A 21467-nucleotide genomic window follows, 5' to 3' on the forward strand; every position below is an offset into this window, starting at 1 on the left:
TGTCTCATCAAATAGAGACTAATAATAAGGAAATAATAAGCTGCTCTAAAAGACAGTTTCTTTTGTTTGCTTTATTTTCCTATGGATGGGCTGCATTTTCCTGGCTTTTTGAGGGTTAAATTTTTGTTGTTGAAAACCAGAAATTTTAAATAATATATTGTAGCATCTCTAAATACTGATCCTCCCCATCTTGGGGCTTGTTATGGTTGGCTTATTTCCTTATTTATTTGTCTGGATTGTTTCTATGATGTCTGTTTCCCTTGCGGTATATAGCCTCCGATGTTGCTCCTCAGGGTATGCACATAGTTACCCCGATCCCTTCCCATGGGCATTTACACAGTCATTCTAGCCCCTCCCGCTAGGATGCAATGGATTTAGCCAGGCTCTCTTTGACTGTCTCTCTCTGATCTCCCTGTTAAGTGTCTGGCTGGTCTGTCCCTACTGGTATCAAATCCAACTATTAGCCTCTATTAATTGCTAGCTGACTGTTCTATTTATTTTGATAATCAACTGTGGGTTACCTTGCTTCACAGTCTGATCCAATTACATTTGATCCCTTTGCAGGGGTACTACTTCCCAACCCAAGCGTTGTTGAGGTACGATTGACAAATAAAAATTATATATACTTAAGGAATATAACATGATGTTTTGATACACACATACATTATAGAATGATTGCCACAATTAAGCTAACTAACATATCCATCACCTCTCAACTAGTTACTGTTGTATGTGTGTGTTAAGAACACATGAGATCTATTCACAGCAAGTTTCAAGTATACAGTATATTAACTGTAGTTACCATGCTGTACATTAGATCTCCCAAACTTATTCACCTTGTAACTGAAAATTTGCACCCCTTGTCCAACGTCTCCCTTCTTCCCCTACTCCCCTCACCCCCAGCCCCTCATCACCACCATTCTACTCTCTGTCAAACTCACAGAAGGGGTAGTTTTGAGGCAAGTTTTTGAGGCTTGCTCTGATCCCAGAAGGGCTCTTGTTAGCTGCTGCTGTCCATGGTTCTCTATTCAACTTCTAACTGGTCTATTGTTTCCATTTTTGTTTTCGTGATGTTTCCTCTTAATTGTGAAGCAGTGGCTTTTTGAAAGCTCGTTGGCTGTATGTGCCAAAATTTCCACTTGTGGGAATCCATCTTAAGGATATAATGCAAAATGTGATAAAAGTTTTACGTAAAAAAATTTTCCATGTTGTTTTATACAATAAAAATTTTACATTTTTTATACAGAAATGGTAAAAAGTAGAATAATCCATTTAATATATTATTTTGCAACTATGCAAAAGAACACAAAAATCTGGCCAGGAAAAGAAAAGGCCAGAAGGAAATGTGACAAAATGTCTATAGTGGGAGAAAGTACCTTATTCTAGTTTTAGGTTCTGAAATCCATTGTAGCCTAAGGTGATGACTACATTTTTAAAAATCCTTTGCTTCCTTCAAAAATTATATGAGATTCTCCAAAGCACTTCTCATATTATGCCTAAGGAAATCACCCATAACATAAGCATTCATTAAAAGATGCTAAAGGAAGAATATTTGGAATTCATGTTCTCAAAATTCCTTGAGAAGAGTTAGTTAATAGATATGGTATTAATTTAGAGATAGAAAATCAAGACCAGGGTATATTATATAGTGTGAATTATATATCAACAAATATATCTCAGTAAATGTATTTAAAAAAAAAGAAAAGCAAAGAAAACTAAGACTGAACAAAAGGTCCAGATAGTGCTTTAAACTATTTTTATAGGAGAATGAAGGTGGCAATATAGATATTTTTGACCCTAACTTCTCTTTTCTTATTTAAAATTACCTGAATGATCTCAGGGATGGAAGGCTGGTTCAATATTCAAAAACAATTAATGTGATCTATCATATTAATAGGCTAAATAAGAAAAATCATTGGATCTTATAATTAGATGCTGAAAAAGCATTTGACAAAATTCAATATCAATCTATGATAAAACCTCTTAGAAATATGGGAATAGAGGGGAAATCCCTCTACTTGATAAAGAACAACTGCAAAATACTACAGATAACACTAGTGGTGAAACACTGAATGCTTTCTGCCTAATATTGGGAAGAAGGTAAGATGTCCACTTTCACCATTCTTAACTGACACCGTGCTTAAGTACGAAACAGTGCAAGAAGGCAAGAAAAGGCAAACAGATCAGAAAATAATAAAACTGTTCTTATTTTCAGATATAGTGGTTGTTTACCTAGAAAACCCCATGGAATCTGCAGGAAAACTCCTAGAACTAGTAAGTGGATTTGGCAAGTTCATAGGACACAAGATAAACATTCAAAAATTAAAATTGTTGGCTGGGCACGGTGGCTCATGCCTGTAATCCCAGCACTTTGGGAGGCTGAGGCAGGCAGATAACTTGAGGTCAGGAGTTCGAGACCAGCCTGGGAAATATGGTGAAACCCCGTCTCTACTAAATACACAAAAATTAGCTGGGTGTGTTGGCACATGCCTGTAATCCCAGCTACTCGGGAGGTTGAGGCAGGAGAATCACTTCAACCTGGGAGGTGGAGGTTGCAGTGAGCCAAGATAGTGCCACTGTACTCCAGCCTGGGGGACAGAGCAAGGCTCTGTCTCAAAAAAAATTAAAATTATTGGCTGGGCATGCTGGCTAACGCCTGTAATCCCAGCATTTTGGGAGGCTGGGGCAGGAGGATTGCTTAAGGCCAGAAGTTCGAGACCAGCCTGGGCAACATAGCAAGACCCCATCTCTACAAAAATCAAAATATTAGCCAGGCATGGTGACACATGTCTGTAGTGCCACCTAGCTACTTGGGAGGCTGAGGTGAAAGAATTACTTGAGCCCAGGGGTTCAAGACTGCAGTAATCTGTGTGCCACTGCACTCCAGCCTGGGTGACAGAGTGAGACCCAATCTCTAAAACCAAACCAAAAGAAAACAAAAAACAAAAATCAATTGTACTTCTACATACTAGCAAGGAACACGTTGACAATGACATTAACACTAAAATACCACTTACAATAGCTCAAAAAAAGAATACTTCTTTTTATTTTGTAGGTGGAAATCCAAACATGTACAGAACTTGCATGCTGAAAACTACACAGTTAACAAAAGAAATCAAGGAAAATCTAAATAAGACATACCACGTTCATGAATTGGAGGCCTTAGCATAGTAAAGATGTTAATTCTCCCCAAGTTAATGCAATTTTAATGCAATTCCTATCAAAATTCAAGCAGGATTTTTGAAGATATAAAAAGATTATTCTAAAATTTATGTGAAAAATCAAAGAGATTAGAATACCTAAAACAATTTTGAAAAAAAAAGAATAAAGCAGATGAACCTAAATTAAAGACTTAATATATAACTACAGTAAACAAAATTCTGTGGTATTGGGGGAAAGACAGATACATAGGTAAATGTAAAAGAATAGAAAACCAAGAAATAGACCCACACAAATATACCCAATTGATTTTTCACAAGGGTACAAAATCAATTCAATGGCAGAAAGATAGCTTTTTAAACAAATGGTACAGAAGAAGGTGGATACTCATAGGCCAAAAAAAAAAAAAAAAAAAAAAAAAAGAACCTCTATGTCAACCTCACACTTTACGCAGAATTAACTCAAAATGGGTCACGGAATTAAATGTGAAAAATAAAACTATAAAACATTTAGAATAAGAAGTAGGAAAATCTTTGAGATTTAGAGCTATAGCAAATAATTTTTAGACTTAAAGCCAAAAGCACAATCCATAAAAGGAAAATTTATAAATGCGACTTCATCAAAATTGAAAACTTTTTAATTGAGAAAGACCCTGTTAAGAGAATAAAAACCACAAGCCACATACTTAGTGAAAGAAAATATTTGCAAACCACATGTCTGATAAAGCAGGAGTCCCTAACCCCTGGGCCACAGACTGCTACCAGTCTGTGGTCTGTTAGGAACCAGGCCACACAGCAGGAGGTGAATGGCAGGTGAGCCCGCAAAGCTTCATCTGTATTTACAACTGCTCCCCATTACTCGCATTACTGTCTGAACTCCACCTCCTGTCAGATCTGCAGCAGCATTAGATTCTCATAGGAGTGGAACCCTATTGTGTTCCACAGGCAAGGGATCTCAGTTGTGCACTCTTTAAAGGAATCTAATGCCTGATGATCTGAGGTGGAGCTGAGGCACTGATCTTAGCTCTGGGGAGCTGCTGCAAATATAGATTAACATTAGCAGAGAGGTTTGACTGCACAGAGACCTTAATAAATCAATTGCTTGCAGACTCATATCAAAACCCTATTGCTGAGTGGCAAGTGAAAATTAAGTTGCATCTGGTAGTAGGCTTTATAGTGGCAAGTGAGTTGATGTGCTTCAATTGTACAGTTGCATCTAGTGGCAGGCTTTAAGTCAGAATCTGACACTTATTTTAGTCTGCATGTGGCCTGCCCATTTTTTTATTTACCACTTCCATCCGTGTCTCTTTCCTGCACTGAGTACTTGTCTCAGTCATAGTTTTGGTAAACCCACAAGCTAACCATAGCCAAAATGAGTAAAAAACAAACATCACTAGAGAGCTCCTTTGAAAAGGGCAAAAGACCCAATGATGAGACAGCAGAAGAATCTAAGACTATCAACAAAAGGAACGCTGCATTTAAAAGAAAATACCAAGTCCCACTTAAATTACGGGTTCATTGCAACAGGTAGATTCACATTCTCCAAGTCTACTTTGTATAATATGTAGTGACCGGCTATCCAGTGAAACCATGAAACCTTCAAAACTGCTTTGCCACTTGGAGACCAAGCACCCTGTATTAAAAGACAAGACTTTGGAGTTTCTCAAAAGAAAAAAAATGTGAACACAAAGAACAGAAGCAATTATTAAAGGCCACCACTTCATCAAATGTGTCTCCACTGAGAGCATCATTCTTAGTGGCTAAACACATTGCTAATGCTAAGAAGCCCTTTGCTATTGGTGGAGAGTTGATCCTGCCTACTGATAAGGATAATGTCATAAAATTTTAGGAGAGGCTGAAGTTCAAAAGGTGGCACATGTTCCTCTTTTGGCTAGCACCAATAACTAGATGAATTGATGAAATAACAGAGGATATTGTGAGACAATTGTTAGAGAGGATTAATGAGTCACCGTGGTATGCAATCCAGGTTGACGAGTCTACGGATGTTGACGGCAAGGCAACAATGCTTGTTTCTGTGTGATATATTTTTCAGGAGCATGTGCATGAAGACATGTTATGTGCGCTTTTGTTGCCAACCAACATCACAGTTGCAGACTACTCAAGTCTTTGAATGACTACACATCAGGAAAACTGAATTGGTCATTTTGTGTCAGTATATGAGCAGATGGCAGTGGTTGCCATGGCTGGATAGCTTTCTGATTTCATTACTTGGGTCAAAGAGGTCGCTTCTGAATGTGAGTCTACACACTGTGTCATCTATAGAGAAATGCTGGCTATCCAAAAAATGTCACCTGAACTTAACAACGTTTTGCAGGATGTGATTAAAATTATCAGCCACATTAAAGTACATGCCCTTAACTCATGTCTGTTCGCATAGCTCTGTGAAGAGATGGATGCAGAGCAAACACGTCTTCTCTTATATACAGAAGTGAGATGACTTTCTAAAGGTGTATCACTGGCCAGAGTTTTTGAGTTATGAGAGCAACTTCAGAGATTTCTTTCAGAAAATGTCACCACTGGAAGCACATTTTAGTGACAGAGAATGGGTCTCAAAACTTGCTTACTTGTATGACCTATACAGCCTGCTCAACAAACTCTATCTGTCACTTCAGGGGAGAATGACAACTGTGTTCAAGTTGGCAGATAAAGTGGCTACATTCAAAACTAAACTGCTGTAATCCCAGCACTGGGAGGCTGAGGTGGGCAGATCACTTGAGGTCAGGAGTTCAAGACCAGCCTGGCCAACATGGTGAAATGCTGTCTTACTAAAAATACAAAAATCAGCCAGGTGTGGTGGTGGGCACCTGTAATCCCAGCTACTTGGGAGGCTGAGGCAGGAGAATTGTTTGAACCCGGGAGGCGGAGGCTGCAGTGAGCCAAGATCACGCCACTGCACTCCAGCCTGGGTGACAGAGCGAAACGAAACAAAACAAACAAAAAAAGCCAAACTGGAATTATGGGGGCAACGAGTGAACACTGGGATTTTTGACATTTTTCAAACATTAACAGAGATTTTGAAGGAGGGTGAGCCAGGGCCTTCTTTCTCCCAGTTGGTGTATGATCACCTAGCTCAGCTTTCAAAAGAGTTTGAGCATTACTTCCCAATCACAAAAGACCCCTGAACTTGGAAGGAATGGATCTGCAACCCATTTGTGAATATGCTAGGTGAATTGACTTTATCCATGCTAGAAGAGGATCAACTGCTTGAGAGTGCAAATGATGGTGGCTTTAAAAGTATGTTTGAGACAACTTCAAATCTCCATACATTCTGGATTAAAGTCGAGGAGTTCAAGACCAGCCTGGCCAACATGGTGAAATACTGTCTTACTAAAAATACAAAAATCAGCCAGGTGTGGTGGCGGGCACCTGTAATCCCAGCTACTCGGGAGGCTGAGGCAGGAGAATCGCTTGAACCAGGGAGTCGGAGGTTGCAGTGAGCCGAGATCATGCCACTGCACTCCAGCCTGGCGACAGAGTGAGACTCCATCTCAAAAATAAAAAAAATAAAGGTTCAATAGGGTTTGGTAATAACAGAACTTTAAACATGACCAAAATTTTCCACTATTTCAAATACACTATGCATCTTCTATACATACCCCTTTAAAATTCGGGCTCTATCTCTCCAGCCACTTCCTCCCATGCATGCTACACTAGCCATTACAAAGTACTTATTATTCACTCCATACCCTTGTCTGTGTTGTTTTTCCTTCTGAATGGGATGCCTCATTCCTTTAGAGCTCCTGAGTATCTCCTTGTGTACTCCTCCCTGATATTCCTGGGCTGAATAGAAATTTCCTCTATAAAGCTTTTAGTGTCTCTTATTAATATATCATTCATTACAAATTATTTGTATGTCAATGGGAAGTCCCTGAGGACAGGAACCTATATCTTTTGAATATTATACTCCCTGTGGCAAGTAGAATGTCAGGCACAAAGTAGATACAATCAACTGAGTTACAGTTAAAAGAACCCGGCCAATTAGTAAATAAATTTAGCTTAAAAGAATATCATTAAAGTTACAATTTAGCTAAATAAACCTCAACCTCATGGTTCTTTGCTGATCGCTATGTCAATGTGTTTTATGATTCTGCTGGCTAAAAGTAAATGCAAATTACATGCTCAAAGGAAGAGTTTCTGTTACAGTCTTAAGTTGTCTGGAATACAGCTGTCATAAACTAACCTCTTGGATTTTAAAAATAAAATCTAAGTTCAAAGACATGGATTCATGTAATATTACATAAAAAAGAACTTACTTTTCCAAAATTATACTAACTTTACAGTAATAGCAATTTTAAAGATTTTTAAAATATATTACATACCATTTCTATTTCTTGATCTTTAGCAACCAGCTGTCGATTAAGAAGTTCTTTGCTTGAGTCAAGTTTAATACAGAGTTCCCTAGTAGAAGACAAATCTGCAAGAGCGGACACTTTTTCAAACTGAACCTTCTGAAGCTCCTCTTCCATTTTTACAACAGATTTATGTAAGGTAGAAATCTGGGACTTGTAAGACCTTTCTGCATTTAAGTGCTGTAAGAATAAAATTATATATATGTATGTATACATATATATTAAACTGGAAGGAAACTATAACATGGAAAAATGAAGTGGGGCAAATCTAAGAGTAGTGCACTTAGATTGTATGAAGTTTAAATAATACAGGTGGTAACAATATGTACAAAACAGTCTAAGATAAATTCAGGTTTTGACTTTTTTTTTTTTTACATAAAATTCATGAGCAGGATGGTCAACTGGTCATTCTTTTTAATGTACTTAGGAAAAAAAAACCTTTCCCACTTAAAAGTCTCCAGCCCCAAAACTAGTTGAGATATATCATTTGACCAACAGTTTTACCTATATTAGCCAGTTTCAATTATTTTATAATACAAATGCTATTGTTGTTGTTAAAAACAAAAATGCTAGCCACTGTTTTATTCACAACATCTGTTTTTGAATTCTTGACTGGCATGTCAATTTCAATCATAATGTCATAAAATGAAAACTGATAACTCTTTAACACTTACTAATACCTCTGAGGGAAAGAGACTAAGGGCAAGTATAAATTAAGTATATATCCACATTATAGGAAATAAGAGTGTGTTTTTAAAACTATGAGATTCAAGTTACATAAATGCTTTCGAATGTTCAAGATAATTCCACCCCCACCCTTTTCTTTCAGAAAAATGTCTTATGTAAGTGCACTGCCACCTACAGAGAAGTATTTGTTTGCTATAATGTGAAGACAAGTAGAACTGAGAGGCAAATAAATTTATGTGTTTTTACAAGTGATTTTACAAGTGTAAAGCACTAGAATTTGCTCCCATTATAAGTTATTTGGCCATAATTCACTCCTACTTTCTCTCTATCTCTTCCCTTCCTTCCTCACTCACTCTTTCTTATTCTCCAAGCCAACTTTTTATCCATCCTTCCATCCACCCACCCATTCATCACATATATATTGAATATACTCTATGTTCCAGTCACTGTGGCTAGGTACATATTCGATGGTATGTGGTATCTGCTCTAATGAAACATCCAGACTACTAGAGAAGTCATATATTAATCAAATAATGATACAAATAACTATATAAATACATACAAAGAAAATATAATTAATACCCTAAGAGAAAAAACAAAATGGAATTATATAACATGCTCGATTAAAACCAGAAAAGGCAGAAGAGCAGCTGAAGACTAAACAAACAAATGAACGGGGCAATAAATTAAAGATACTTATAAATATGGGAAATATTAATCCAACTATAATTACTTTAACTGTGACTAATCTATATACCCCAATTAAGACAAATGGTCAGAGTGGATAAGAAAACAAGATCTACTTATTTAGCTACGATAAATTAATATTAATATTCAAATGTTAATGCTAATAAAAGGAAAGTTGGGGTAGCTACATTAATTTCAGACAAAGCAAATTTCAGAGAAAGGAAAATTATCAGTAATAAAGAGAGGGCATGACATAATGATTGTAAAAAGTTAATTTTCAAAGAAGACATAACAATCCTTAATGTGCACATTCCTAACAACAGAGCATGCCAACATACGTAAGCCAAAAAAATTGATAGGATGGCAAGGAGAGATACCCATATCTACTATTCTAGATTACTATTATAGATTATTATTGGAGAATGCAACACCCATGTATCAGTAACTGACAGATCAAGCAGGCAGAAAGTCAGCAAGGATACAATTCAACTGAACAGCGTTATCAATCAATTGGATCTAGATATTTACAGAGTACTTTATCCAAAAACAGCAGAATACACATTCTTTTCAAGCTCACATGCAACATTCACTAAGACAGACTACGTATGCCCTATAAAACACATCTAAACAAACTTAAAAGAGCAAAAATCATACAAAGTATACTCTCAGATCACAATGGAGTTGAACTAGAAATACATTAACAGAAGGATAGTTGGAAAATCCCAAAATATTTAGAAATTTAACAACATACTTCTAAATAACACATAGGTCAAAGAAGAAATCACAAAAAAAATTTAGAATATTTTGAATGAAACAAAAATTAAAATATAACTTACCAAAATTTGTGGCATGTAGTTAAAGCAGTACTTACAAGAAATTTATAGCACTGAGTGCATATATTAGAAAAGAAGGAATATCTAAAATCAATAACCTGGCCGGGTGTGGTGGCTCACGTCTGTAATCCTAGCACTTTGGGAGGCCGAGGCAGGTGGATCGCCTGAGGCCAGGAGTTCGAGACCAGCCTGGCCAACATAATGAAACCCTGTCTCTACTAAAAATACAAAAAATTAGCTGGGTGTGGTGGTGGGTGCCTGTAATCCCAGCTACTCTGGAGCCTGAGGCAGAAGAATCATGTGAATTCAGGAGGCAGAGGTTGCAGTGAGCTGGGATCGCGCCATTGCACTGCCCCTGGTCAACAAGAGCGAAACTCCATCTCAAAAATAAATAAATAAATAAATAAACACAAAAGAAAGAATCTTAAGATCTGTGAGGCAAAAGCATCCAGTAACCTATAAAGAAAAACCTATCAGATTAATAGCAGATTTCTTAGCAGAAACCATACAAGCTAGAAGGGATTGGGGTCCTATCTTTTACCTCCTTAAACAAAACAATTATCAGCCAAGATTTTGTCTCCAGTGAAACTAAGCTTCAAAAATGAAAAAAAAAAAAGTTTTTTTTCAGACAAATGCTGAGAGAAGTTGCCACTACCATGTCAGCACTATGAGAACTGCTGACAGGAGTTCTAAATCTTGAGACAAAACCTTGAAATACACCAAAATAGAATCTCTTTAAAGTATAACTCTCACAAGGCCTATAAAACAATAACACAATTAAAGAAAAACAAAGTATTCAGGCAACAAGTAGCATAATGAATAATAGTACCTCACATCTCAATACTAACATTGAATGTAAATGGTCTAAATGCTCTACCTAAAAGACACAGAATGGCAGAATTGATAAGAATACACTAAATAAGTATCTGATGTCTTCAAGAGACTCACCTAACACATAAGGACTCATACAAACTTAAGTAAAGGGGTGGAAAAACATATTCCATACAAAATGAAAACCAAAAGCGAGCAGGAGTAGCTATTCTTATATCAGACAAAGCAAACTTTAAAGCAACAACAGTTAAAAAAGACAAAGAGGGACATTATATAATGATAAAAGGAAGAGTCTAACAGGAAAATCTCACAGTTCTAAATATTTATGCATCTAACATTGGAGCTCCCAAATTTATAAGCAATTACTACTAGACCTAAAAAATGAGATAGATGGCAACACAATAATAGTGGGGGACTTCAATAGACAGGTCATTAAGACAGAAAGTTTAAAAAGAAACAATGGACTTAAACTATACCCTAGAACAAATGCACTTCACAGATATTTACAGAACATTCTACCGAACAATTGCAGGACATACATTCTATTCATCAGCACAAGGAACATTCTCCAAAACAGACCATATGATAGGCCATAAAACAAGTCTCAATAAATTTTTAAAAATCAAATTTATATCAAGTATCTTCTCAAACCACAATGGAATAAAACTGGAAATTACCTCCAATAGGAACCCTCAAAACTATAAAAATATATGGACATTAAATAATCTGCTCTTGAATGATCTCTGGTTCAACAATGAAATCGAGATGGAAATTAAAAAATTATTTGAGCTGAACAATAATAGTGCCACAACTTATCAAAACCTCTGGGATACAGCAAAAGTGGTACTAAGAGGAAAGTTCATACTATTAAATGCCTAAATCAAAAAGTCTGAAAGAGCACAATCTAAGGTCACACCTCAAGGAACTAGAGAAACAAGAACAAACCAAACTCAAACCCCGCAGAAGAAAAGAAATAACAAAGATCAGAGCAGAATTAAAATGGAAACAACCAAAAAAAAAAAAACCACTACAAAAGATAAAAGAAACAAAAAGCTGGTTGAGAAGATAAACAAAGCTGATAGACTATTAGTGAGATTAACCAAGAAAAGAGCAGAGAAGATCCAAATAAGTCCAGTTAGAAACGAAATGGGAGCTATTACAACCAATACCACGGAAATACAAAAGATCATTCAAGGCTACTATGAACATTGTTACATGCATAAACTAGAAAACCTAGAGGAAATGGATAAATTCCTGGAAATATACAACCCTTCTAGATTACAAGCAGCAAGATTCAAATGGTAAAAAACAAAAAAAACAAGAAACAAAAACAAAAAACTGCCTGCCAATGAAGAAAAGTCCAGGACCAGATGAATTCACAGCTGAATTCTGTCATTCAAAGAACTGGTACCAATCCTACTGAAATTATTCCACAAGGCAGAGAAAGAGAGAATGCTCCCTAAATCATTCTATGAAGCCAATATCACACTAATACCAAAACTAGGAAAGGACATAACAAAAAAAGAAAACTACAGACCAATATCCCTGATGAACATAGCTGCAAAAATCCTCAATAAAATACTAGCTAGCCGAATCCAACAGCATAACAAAAAGATAATACATCATGATCAAATGGGTTTCATATCAGGGATGCAGGGATGGTTTAACGTAAGTAAGTCAATAAATATGATAGACCACATAAACAGAATTAAAAACAAAAATCACATGATCATCTCCATAGATGCAGACAAAACATATGACAAACTCCAGTATTCCTTTATCATTAAAACCCTCAGCAAAATCAGCATAGAAGGGACATACCCTAAGGTAATAAAAGCCATCTATGACAAACCCACAGACAATATTACCGAATGGGGAAAAGTTGAAAGCATTCCCCCTAAGAACTAGAACAAGACAAGAATGCCCACTTTCACTACTTCTATTCAACATAGTACTGGAAGTCTTAGCCAGAGCAATCAGACAACAGAAAGAAATAAAAGGCACCCAAATTGGTAAAGAGGAAGTCAATTGTCACTGTTCGCCAATTATAGGATCATATACCTAGAAAACTCTAAAGATTCATCCAAAAGCTCCCAGATCTGATAAATGAATTCAGTATACAAAATCAATGTACATAAATCATCACTGCTATACACCAACAGTGACCAAGTTGAGAATCAAATCAAGAACTCAACTCCTTTTACAATAGCAAAAACAAAAAACAAAAAACAAAAAAACACAACTTAGGAATATACCTAACCAAGGAGGTGAAAGAGCTCTACAAGGAAAACTACAAAACACTGCTGAAAGAAATCATTTATGACACAAACAAATGGAAATACATCCCATGCTCATGGATGGGTAGAATCAATATTGTAAAAATGAGCATACTGCCAAAAACAATATACAAATTCAAGGCAATTCCTATCAAAATACCATCATCATTCTTCATAGAACCAGAAAAAAAAAAACCTAAACATCCTAAAATTCGTATATGACTAAAAAAGAGCCAGCATACTGTAGAAAGTAGAAAAGTTAATCTTCAAAGTTCGTCTTGATTTAAAAATAAAATAATAGACACTAGGAATAACAGTTCCTTACTCTAAAGCCTCCTATCAACTATTAGTTCTTACACTTTAGCCCAGTTAGTTGCTTTGGCTTACTCAGGCATGTCTGGACAGGCCCAGGCAAGTCTTAGCTCATAGCTTATGCCCCTTCCTTATTTGGAAATGTTATTGTTTCCTTAAACCTTTCATAAGCAACTTCCTCTTCTTTGTTCTCTCTTGCACTTACCTATTTAGGAAAGTTTTAGGTTATTAGCAAATTGGGTATCAGTTTAAGATTGTGAGGTCCAGCTCCAGCCAATGGATGCAGGACACTGCAGTAAGGATGACCCAAATGCATAAGAGATAAACATGTCTGCTTTTCCTTTGCTCAAGTGTGCTCTCACCATTGTTCCATCTGCAATGGGCACCCTTTCTGCAGAAAGTAAAAATGGCCTTGCTGAGGGAATTAAATTTATGTTCAAGTGCTATTTCTTTGCGACACCAGGGAACAAGCATTTCTAACAATACCCAAAGCAAGACTAAGCAAAAAGAACAAATCTGGAGGCATCACTTACCCAACTTCAAACTATACTACAAGGCTATGTTACCAAAATAGCATGGTACTGGTATAAAAATAGGCACATAGACCAATGGAACAGAATAGAGAACACAGAAATAAAGCCAAAACGTACAGCCAAGTGATCTTCGAGAGAGCAAACAAAAACATAAAGTGGGGAAAGAACACCTTATTCAACAAAATGGTGCTGAGATAATTGGCAAGCTATATGTAGAAGAATGAAACTGGATCCTCACCTCTCACCTTATACAAAAATCAACTCAAAATGATCAAAGACTTAAATCTAAGACCTAAAACCATAAAAATTCTAGAACATCGGAAAAACCCTTCTAGACATTGGCTTAGGCAAACCCTTCATTACCAAGAACACAAAAGCAAATGCAACACAAAGATAAATAGATGCGACTTAATTAAACTAAAAAACTTCTGCACAGCAAAAGAAATAATCATCAGAGTAAACAGACAGCCCCCAGAGTGGGAGAAAATCTTTGCAAATGACGCATCCAATAAAATAATAATATCCAGAATGTACAAGGAACTCAAACAAATCAGCAAGAAAGAAACAAACAATCTGATCAAAAAGTGGGCTATGCACATGAATAGACAATTGCCCCCCCACATTTTTTTTTTTTTTTTTTTTGAGACAGGGTCTTACTCTGTTGCCCAGGCTGGAGTGCAGTGGTACTGTCTCGGCTCACTGCAACCTCTCTGGTTGAAAATGACATTTTTATAGATAAACACAAACATTTTGAAGGTTTGAGTCACTCGCTTTGTGAGGCTTGGCCAGTGTTATATTGTTCTCTTCACAGCCTTTGTGAGCCAAGACAGGTCTTTGAGTTGAGATGTGCTGGGGCGCAGGTCTTATGTGGTACCACATTCTAGAACAGAAATGACTGGGTGCATTTTGTTGGCCCTGGGGCATCCTAAAAGGGCCCCTCAGTAGGGAAGAAAGCGCTGTAGACGGGACATGGCCAGCCCATCCAGCAGAGAGGGCCCAGCAGGTAGCACGGAGAAGGCTGGTCAGCTGTCTGGGGCTCTGACCAGACGAGATTTCCCTCACCTCAGTCAGGCTGCTCTTTGGCCACTGTGTAACATGGCTTGAAGCTGGGTACTGCAGTAACTGTCTCTACCGTCAAGCCTAGGAGTGGAACAGGAGCAGATCTCTTACAACATTTGGGGCATAGCTTTCTGAACTTCTGTCTGTGCTATACTGACTACACATACATACGTATATGTGCAAAAGTGCATATTTACCTGAAAGAGGTACTGTCTGCATTGTTTTGTGAGCTTTTTTTTTTTTTGAGACGGAGTCTTGCGTTGTGGCCCAGGCTGGAGTGTAGTGGCGTGATCTCAGCTCACTGCAACCTCTGCTTCCCAGGTTCAAGTGATTCTCCTGCCTCAGCCTCTCAAGTAGCTGGGATTACAGGCATGCACCATCATGCCCGGCTAATTTTTTTTAGTAGATACAGGGTTTCACCATGTTGGCCAGGCTGGTCTCAAACTCCTGGCCTCAGGTGATCCTCCCGCCTCAGCCTCCCAAAGTGCTGGGATTACAGGGATGAGGCCACCATGCCTGGCCCCATTCTTTATTTTGTAAGATTGAGGAGAACACATTTTCAAGCAACCAGATGTCATAATTAACAAGCAAAACTTCAAAGTAGGCATTAAAAATATGTTCAAGGACCTAATGATGCATGGTTAATGAAGTAAAGGAAGATATGATGACAATGTCTCATCAAATAAAGATTATAAAAAAATATATAAATCATTTTTTTAAAAGAACAAAATGGAATGTCTGAAACTTGAAATTACAATAATTGAAATGAAAAGGTTTCCCAGAGGGTCTCAGCAGTGGATTCTGAACTGGCAGAGGAAACAATTAATGAATTTAAAAAAGATTGATGAAGATTATGCAATTTGATGAAGAAAAAAAGCAGAATGAAGAAAAATGAACAAACCTCCGAAAAATATAGGACACTATTAAGCACACCAACCTACATATAATGATAGTAGTAGAAGGAGAGGATATAGAAAGGACCAGAAGAAATAATTGAAAAAATAATGGCTGGAAACTTCATAAATTTCAAGGAAAATTTTCATCTTCATATTTAGCATGCTAAATAAGCAAGTAGGATAAAAGCTAAGAGATCTACAATCAGACACATCATTATAAAAATGCTGAAAGCAAGGAAAATATCTTGAAAGCAGCAAGGGAAAAATGGCTTGTCAATTGCACAGGAACTCCAATAATATTAACAACTGGCTTCTAAGCAGAAACAATGGAATCCAGAAAGCAGTGATCTAACATATTCAAAGAGCTCAAAAAACAAAACAACCCAAAATACCAAGAATTCTTGTCAACCAAGAAGCCTACACCCAGGAGAACTACCTTTCAGAATGAAGGGAAAATCTCTACAGAAATGCTACAAGCCAGAAGAGAGTGGGAGCCAATATTCAACATTCTTAAAGAAAAGAATTCTCAACCCAGAATTTCATATCCAGCCAAACTAAGCTTCATAAGAGAAGGAGAAATAAAATCCTTCACAGACAAGCAAATGCTGGGACATTTTGTTACCACCAGGCCTGCCTTACAAGAGCTCTGAAAAAGCACTAAAATTGGATAGGAAAAACTGGTACCAGCCACTGCAAAAACATACCAAATTGTAAAGACCATCAACACTATGAAGAAACTTCACCAACTAATGGGCAAAATAACCAGGTAGCATCATAATGACAGGATCGAATTCACACATAACAATATTAACCTTAAATGTAACTGGGCTAAATGCCCCAATTAAAAGACACAGACTGGCAAATTGGATAGTCAAGACCCACTGGTGTGCTGTATTCAGGAGATCCATCTCACGTACGAAAACACACATAGGCTCAAAATAAAGGGATGGAGGAATATTTACCAAGCAAATGGAAAGCAAAAAAAAAAAAAAAAATCAGGAGTTGCAATTTTAATCTCTGATAAAACAGACTTTAAACCAACAAAGATCAAAAGAGACAAAGAAGGGCATAAAATAATGGTAAAAACATCAATGCAACAAGAAAAGCTAACTATCCTAAATATATATGCACCCAATACAGGAACACCCAGATTCATAAAACAAGTTCTTAAAGACCTATGAGAGACTTAGACTCCCACACAATAATAGTGGGAGATTTTAACACCCCAATGTCAATATTAGACAAATCAATGAGACAGAAAATTAACAAAGGTATTCAGGACTTGAACTCAGCTCTGGACCAAGCGGACCAGGCAGACAACAGAACTCTCCACTCCAAATCAACAGAATATACATTCTTCTCAGCACCTCATCACACTTATTCTAAAATTGACCATATAATTGGAAGTAAAACACTCCTCAGCAAATGCAAAATAACAGAAATCATAATAAACAGTTTCTCAGACCACAGTGCAATCAAATTAGAACTCAGGATTAAGAAATCCACTCAAAACCGCACAACTACATGGAAACTGAACAACCTGCTCCTGAATGACTACTGGGTACATAACAAAATGAAGGCAGAAATAAAGATGTTCTTGGAAACCAACAAGAACAAAGACAGAACGTAACAGAATCTCTGGGACACATTTAAAGCAGTGGGTAGAGAGAAATTTATAGCACTAAATGCCCACAAAAGAAAGCAAGAAAAATCTAAAATCGACACCCTAACATCACAATTAAAAGAACTAGAGAAGCAAGAGCAAACAAATTCAAAAGCTAGCAGAAGACAAGAAATAACTAAGATCAGAGCAGAACTGAAGGAGACAGAGACACAAAAAACCCTTCAAAAAATCACTGATGCCACAAAGATACTCCTCGAGAAGGGCAACTCCAAGACACATAATTGTCAGATTCACCAAAATTGAAATGAAGGAAAAAATGTTAAGGGCAGCCAGAAAGAAAGGTCGGGTTACCCACAAAGGGAAGCCCATCAGACTAACAGAGGATCTCTCGGCAGAAACTCTACAAACCAGAAGACAGCAGGGCCAATATTCAACATTCTTAAAGAAAAGAATTTTCAACGCAGAATTTCATATCCAGCCAAACCAAGCTTCAAAAGTGAAGGAGAAATAAAATGCTTTAAAGACAAGCAAATGCTGAGAGATTTTGTCACCACCAGGCCTGCCCTAAAAGAGCTCCTGAAGGAAGCACTAAACATGGAAAGGAACAACTGGTACCAGCCACTGCAAAAACATGACAAATTGTAAAGACCATTGATGCTAGGAAGAAACTGCATCAACTAACGAGCAAAATAACCAGCTAACATCATAATGACAGGATCAAATTCACACATGACAATATTAACCTTAAATGTAAATGGGCTAAATGCTCCAATTAAAAGACACAGACTGGCAAATTTGATAGAGTCAAGACCCATCAGTGTGCTGTATGCAGGAGACCCATCTCATGTGCAGAGACATACATAGGCTCAAAATAAACGGACGGAGGAGGAGCAAATGGAAAACAAAAAATGGCAGGAGTTGCAATCCTGGTCTCTGATAAAACAGACTTTAAACCACAAAGATCAAAAGAGACAAAGAAGGCCATTACATAATGGTAAAGGGATCAATTCAACAAGAAGAGCCAACTATCCTAAATATATATGTACCCAATACAGGAGCACCCAGATGAATAAAGCAAGTCCTTAGAGATCTACAAAGAGACTTAGACTCCCACATAATAATAATGGGAGACTTTAACACCCCACTGTCAACATTAGACAGATCAGCGAGACAGAAAGTTAACAAGGATACCCAGGAATTGAACTCAGCTCTGCACCAAGCAGACCTAATAGACATCTACAGAACACTCCACCCCAAATCAACAGAATATACATTCTTCTCAGCACCACACCACACTTATTCCAAAATTGACCACATAGTTGGAAGTAAAGCACTCCTTAGCAAATGTAAAAGAACAGAAATTATAACAAACTGTCTCTCAGACCACAGTGCAATCAACTAAAACTCAGGATGAAGAAGCTCACTCAAAACCACTCAACTACATGGAAACTGAACAACCTGCTCCTGAATGACTACTGGGTACATAACGAAATGAAGGCAGAAATAAAGATGTTCTTTGAAACCAATGAGAACAAAGACACAACATACTAGAATCTCTGGGACACAGCTAAAGCAGTGTGTAGAGGGAAATTTATAGCATTAAATGCCCACAAGAGAAAGCAAGAAAGATCTAAAATTGACAAACTAACATCACAATTAAAAGAACTAGAGAAGCAAGAGCAAACACATTCAAAAGCTAGCAGAAGGCAAGAAATAACTAAGAACAGAGAAGAACTGAAGGATATAGAGACACAAAAAACCCTTCAAAAAATCAATGAATCCAGGACCTGGTTTTTTGAAAAGATCAACAAAACTGATAGACCACTAGCAAGACTAATAAAGAAGAAAAGAGAGAAGAATCAAATAGACGCAATACAAAATGAAAAAGGGGATATCACCACTGATCCCATAGAGATAGAAACTACCATCAGAGAATACTATAAACACCTCTACACAAATAAACTTGAAAATCTAGAAGAAACGGATAAATTCCTGGACACATACACCCTCCCAAGACTAAATCAGGAAGAAGTTGAATCCCTGAATAGACAAATAACAGGCTCTGAAATTGAGGCAATAATTAATAGCTTACCAATCAAAAAAAGTCCAGGACCAGACGGATTCATAGCTGAATTCTACAAGAGGCACAAGGAGGAGCTGGTACCTTTCCTTCTGAAAGTATTCCAATCAACAGAAAAAGAGGGAATCCTCCTTAACTCATTTTATGAGGCCAGCATCATCCTGATACCAAAGACTGGCAGAGATACAACAAAAAAAGGATAATTTTAGACCAATATCCCTGATGAACCTCAATGCAAAAATCCTCAATAAAATACTGGCAAACCGAATCCAGCAGTACGTCAGAAAGCTTATCCACCATGATCAAGCGGGCTTCATCCCTGGGATGCAAGGCTGGTTCAACATATGCAAATCAATAAATGTAATCCATCACATAAACAGAACCAAAGACAAAAACCACATGATTATCTCAATAGATGCAGAAAAGGCCTTTGACAAAATTCAACAGCTCTTCATGCTAAAAACTCTCAATAAACTAGGTATTGATGGGATGTATCTCAAAATAATAAGAGCTATTTATGACAAACCCACAGCCAATATCATAATGAATGTGCAAAAACTGGAAGCATTCCCTTTGAAGACTGGCACAAGAGGGGGATGCCCTCTCTCACCACTCCTATTCAACTGTTGGAAGTTCTGGCCAGGGCAATCAGGCAGGAGAAAGAAATAAAGGGCATTCAATTAGGAAAAGAGGAAGTCAAATTGTCCCTGTTTGAAGATGGCATGATTGTATATTTAGAAAACCCCATTGTCTCAGCCCAAAATCTCCTTAAGCTGATAAGCAACTTCAGCAAAGTCTCAGGATAGAAAATCAATGTGCAAAAATCACAAGAATTCTTATACACCAATAATAGACAAACTGAGGGCTAAATCATGAGTGAACTCCCATTCACAATTGCTTCAAAGAGAATAAAATACCTAGGAATCCAGCTTACAGGGGACATGAAGGACCTCTTCAAGGAGAACTACAAACCACTGCTCAAGACAATAACAGAGGACACAAACAAATGGAAGAACATTCCATGCTCATGGATAGGAAGAATCAATATCGTGAAAATGGCCATACTGCCCAAAGGGATTTATAGATTCAATGCTATCCCCATCAAGCTACCATTGACTTTCTTCACAGAATCAGAAAAAAGCTACTTTAAACTTCATATAGAACCAAAAAAGAGCCCATACAGCCAAGACAATCCTAAGGAAAAAGAACAAAGCTGGAGGGATCATGCTACTGGACTTCAAACTATACCACAAGGCTACAGTAACCAAAACAGCATGGTACTGGTACCAAAACATATATATATACACACACACCAATGGAACAGAACAGAGGCCTCAGAAATAACACCACACATCTACAACTATCTGCTCTTTGACAAACCTGACAAAAACAAGAAATGGGGAAAGGATTCCCTATTTCATAAATGGTGTTGGAAAAACTGGCTAGCCATATGCAGAAAACTGAAACTGGACCCCTTCCTTACACCTTATACAAAAATTAACTCAAGATGGATTAAAGACTTAAACGTAAGATCTAAAGCCATAAAAATCCTAGAAGAAAACCTAGGCAATACCATTCAGGACACAGGCATGGGCAAGGACTTCATGACTAAAACACCAAAAGCAATGGCAACAAAAGCCAAAATTGACAAATGGGATCTAATTAAACTAAAGAGCTCTGCACAGCAAAAGAAACTGTCATCAGTATGAACAGGCAACCTAAAGAATGGGGGAAAATTTTTGCAATCTATTCATCTGACAAAGGGCTAATATCCAGAGTCTACAAAGAACTTAAACAAATTTAGAAGAAAAAAAACAGACGACCCCACCAAAAAGTGGGCAAAGGATATGAACAGGCACTTCTCAAAAGAAGACACTTATGCAGCCAACAAACATGAAAAAAAGCTCATCATCACTGGTCATTAGAGAAATGCAAATCAAATTCACGATGAGATACCCTCTCACACTAGCTAGAATGGTGATCATTAAAATGTCAGGAAACAACAGATGCTGGAGAGGATGTGGAGAAATAAGAATGCTTTTACACTGTTGGTGGGAGTGTAAATTAGTTTAACCATTGTGGAAGACAGTGTGGTGATTCCTCAAGGATTTAGAACTACAA

The 21467-nt window shown here is 37.2% G+C and overlaps 1 protein-coding gene across 23 annotated transcripts in view, besides 2 other annotated features; it reads right to left on the minus strand.

Moving 5' to 3' along the window:
* TSGA10 (testis specific 10) overlaps window positions 1-21467 on the minus strand; it is a 157706-nt gene that overhangs the window by 30471 nt on the left and 105768 nt on the right. For all 23 annotated transcript variants that reach the window (NR_146001.2, XM_047445934.1, XM_047445931.1 and 20 more), the window contains one exon: window positions 7499-7708. Coding sequence is in view for 22 of the 23 variants with exons in the window: in XM_047445934.1 (XP_047301890.1) it covers window positions 7499-7708 (210 nt within the window). In the remaining variant the exon portion in view is untranslated. The remainder of the gene's footprint in view (window positions 1-7498; window positions 7709-21467) is intronic.
* Window positions 12793-13992: an enhancer, noted in NCBI's record as "MED14-independent group 3 enhancer chr2:99656987-99658186 (GRCh37/hg19 assembly coordinates)". NCBI's record gives its function as "activates an origin of replication core promoter dependent on BRD2, BRD4, P300/CBP and CDK7 cofactors, and independent of MED14, by STARR-seq in HCT116 cells {active_cell/tissue: HCT116}" and the evidence as "EXISTENCE:reporter gene assay evidence [ECO:0000049][PMID:35650434]".
* Window positions 13192-13471: an enhancer, noted in NCBI's record as "active region_16272". NCBI's record gives its function as "activates an Ori minimal core promoter by ATAC-STARR-seq in GM12878 lymphoblastoid cells {active_cell/tissue: GM12878}" and the evidence as "EXISTENCE:reporter gene assay evidence [ECO:0000049][PMID:35858748]".

This window comes from Homo sapiens, chromosome 2 (assembly GCF_000001405.40).
Source record: "Homo sapiens chromosome 2, GRCh38.p14 Primary Assembly".
In the NCBI taxonomy this organism is placed as follows: Eukaryota; Metazoa; Chordata; class Mammalia; order Primates; family Hominidae; genus Homo; species Homo sapiens.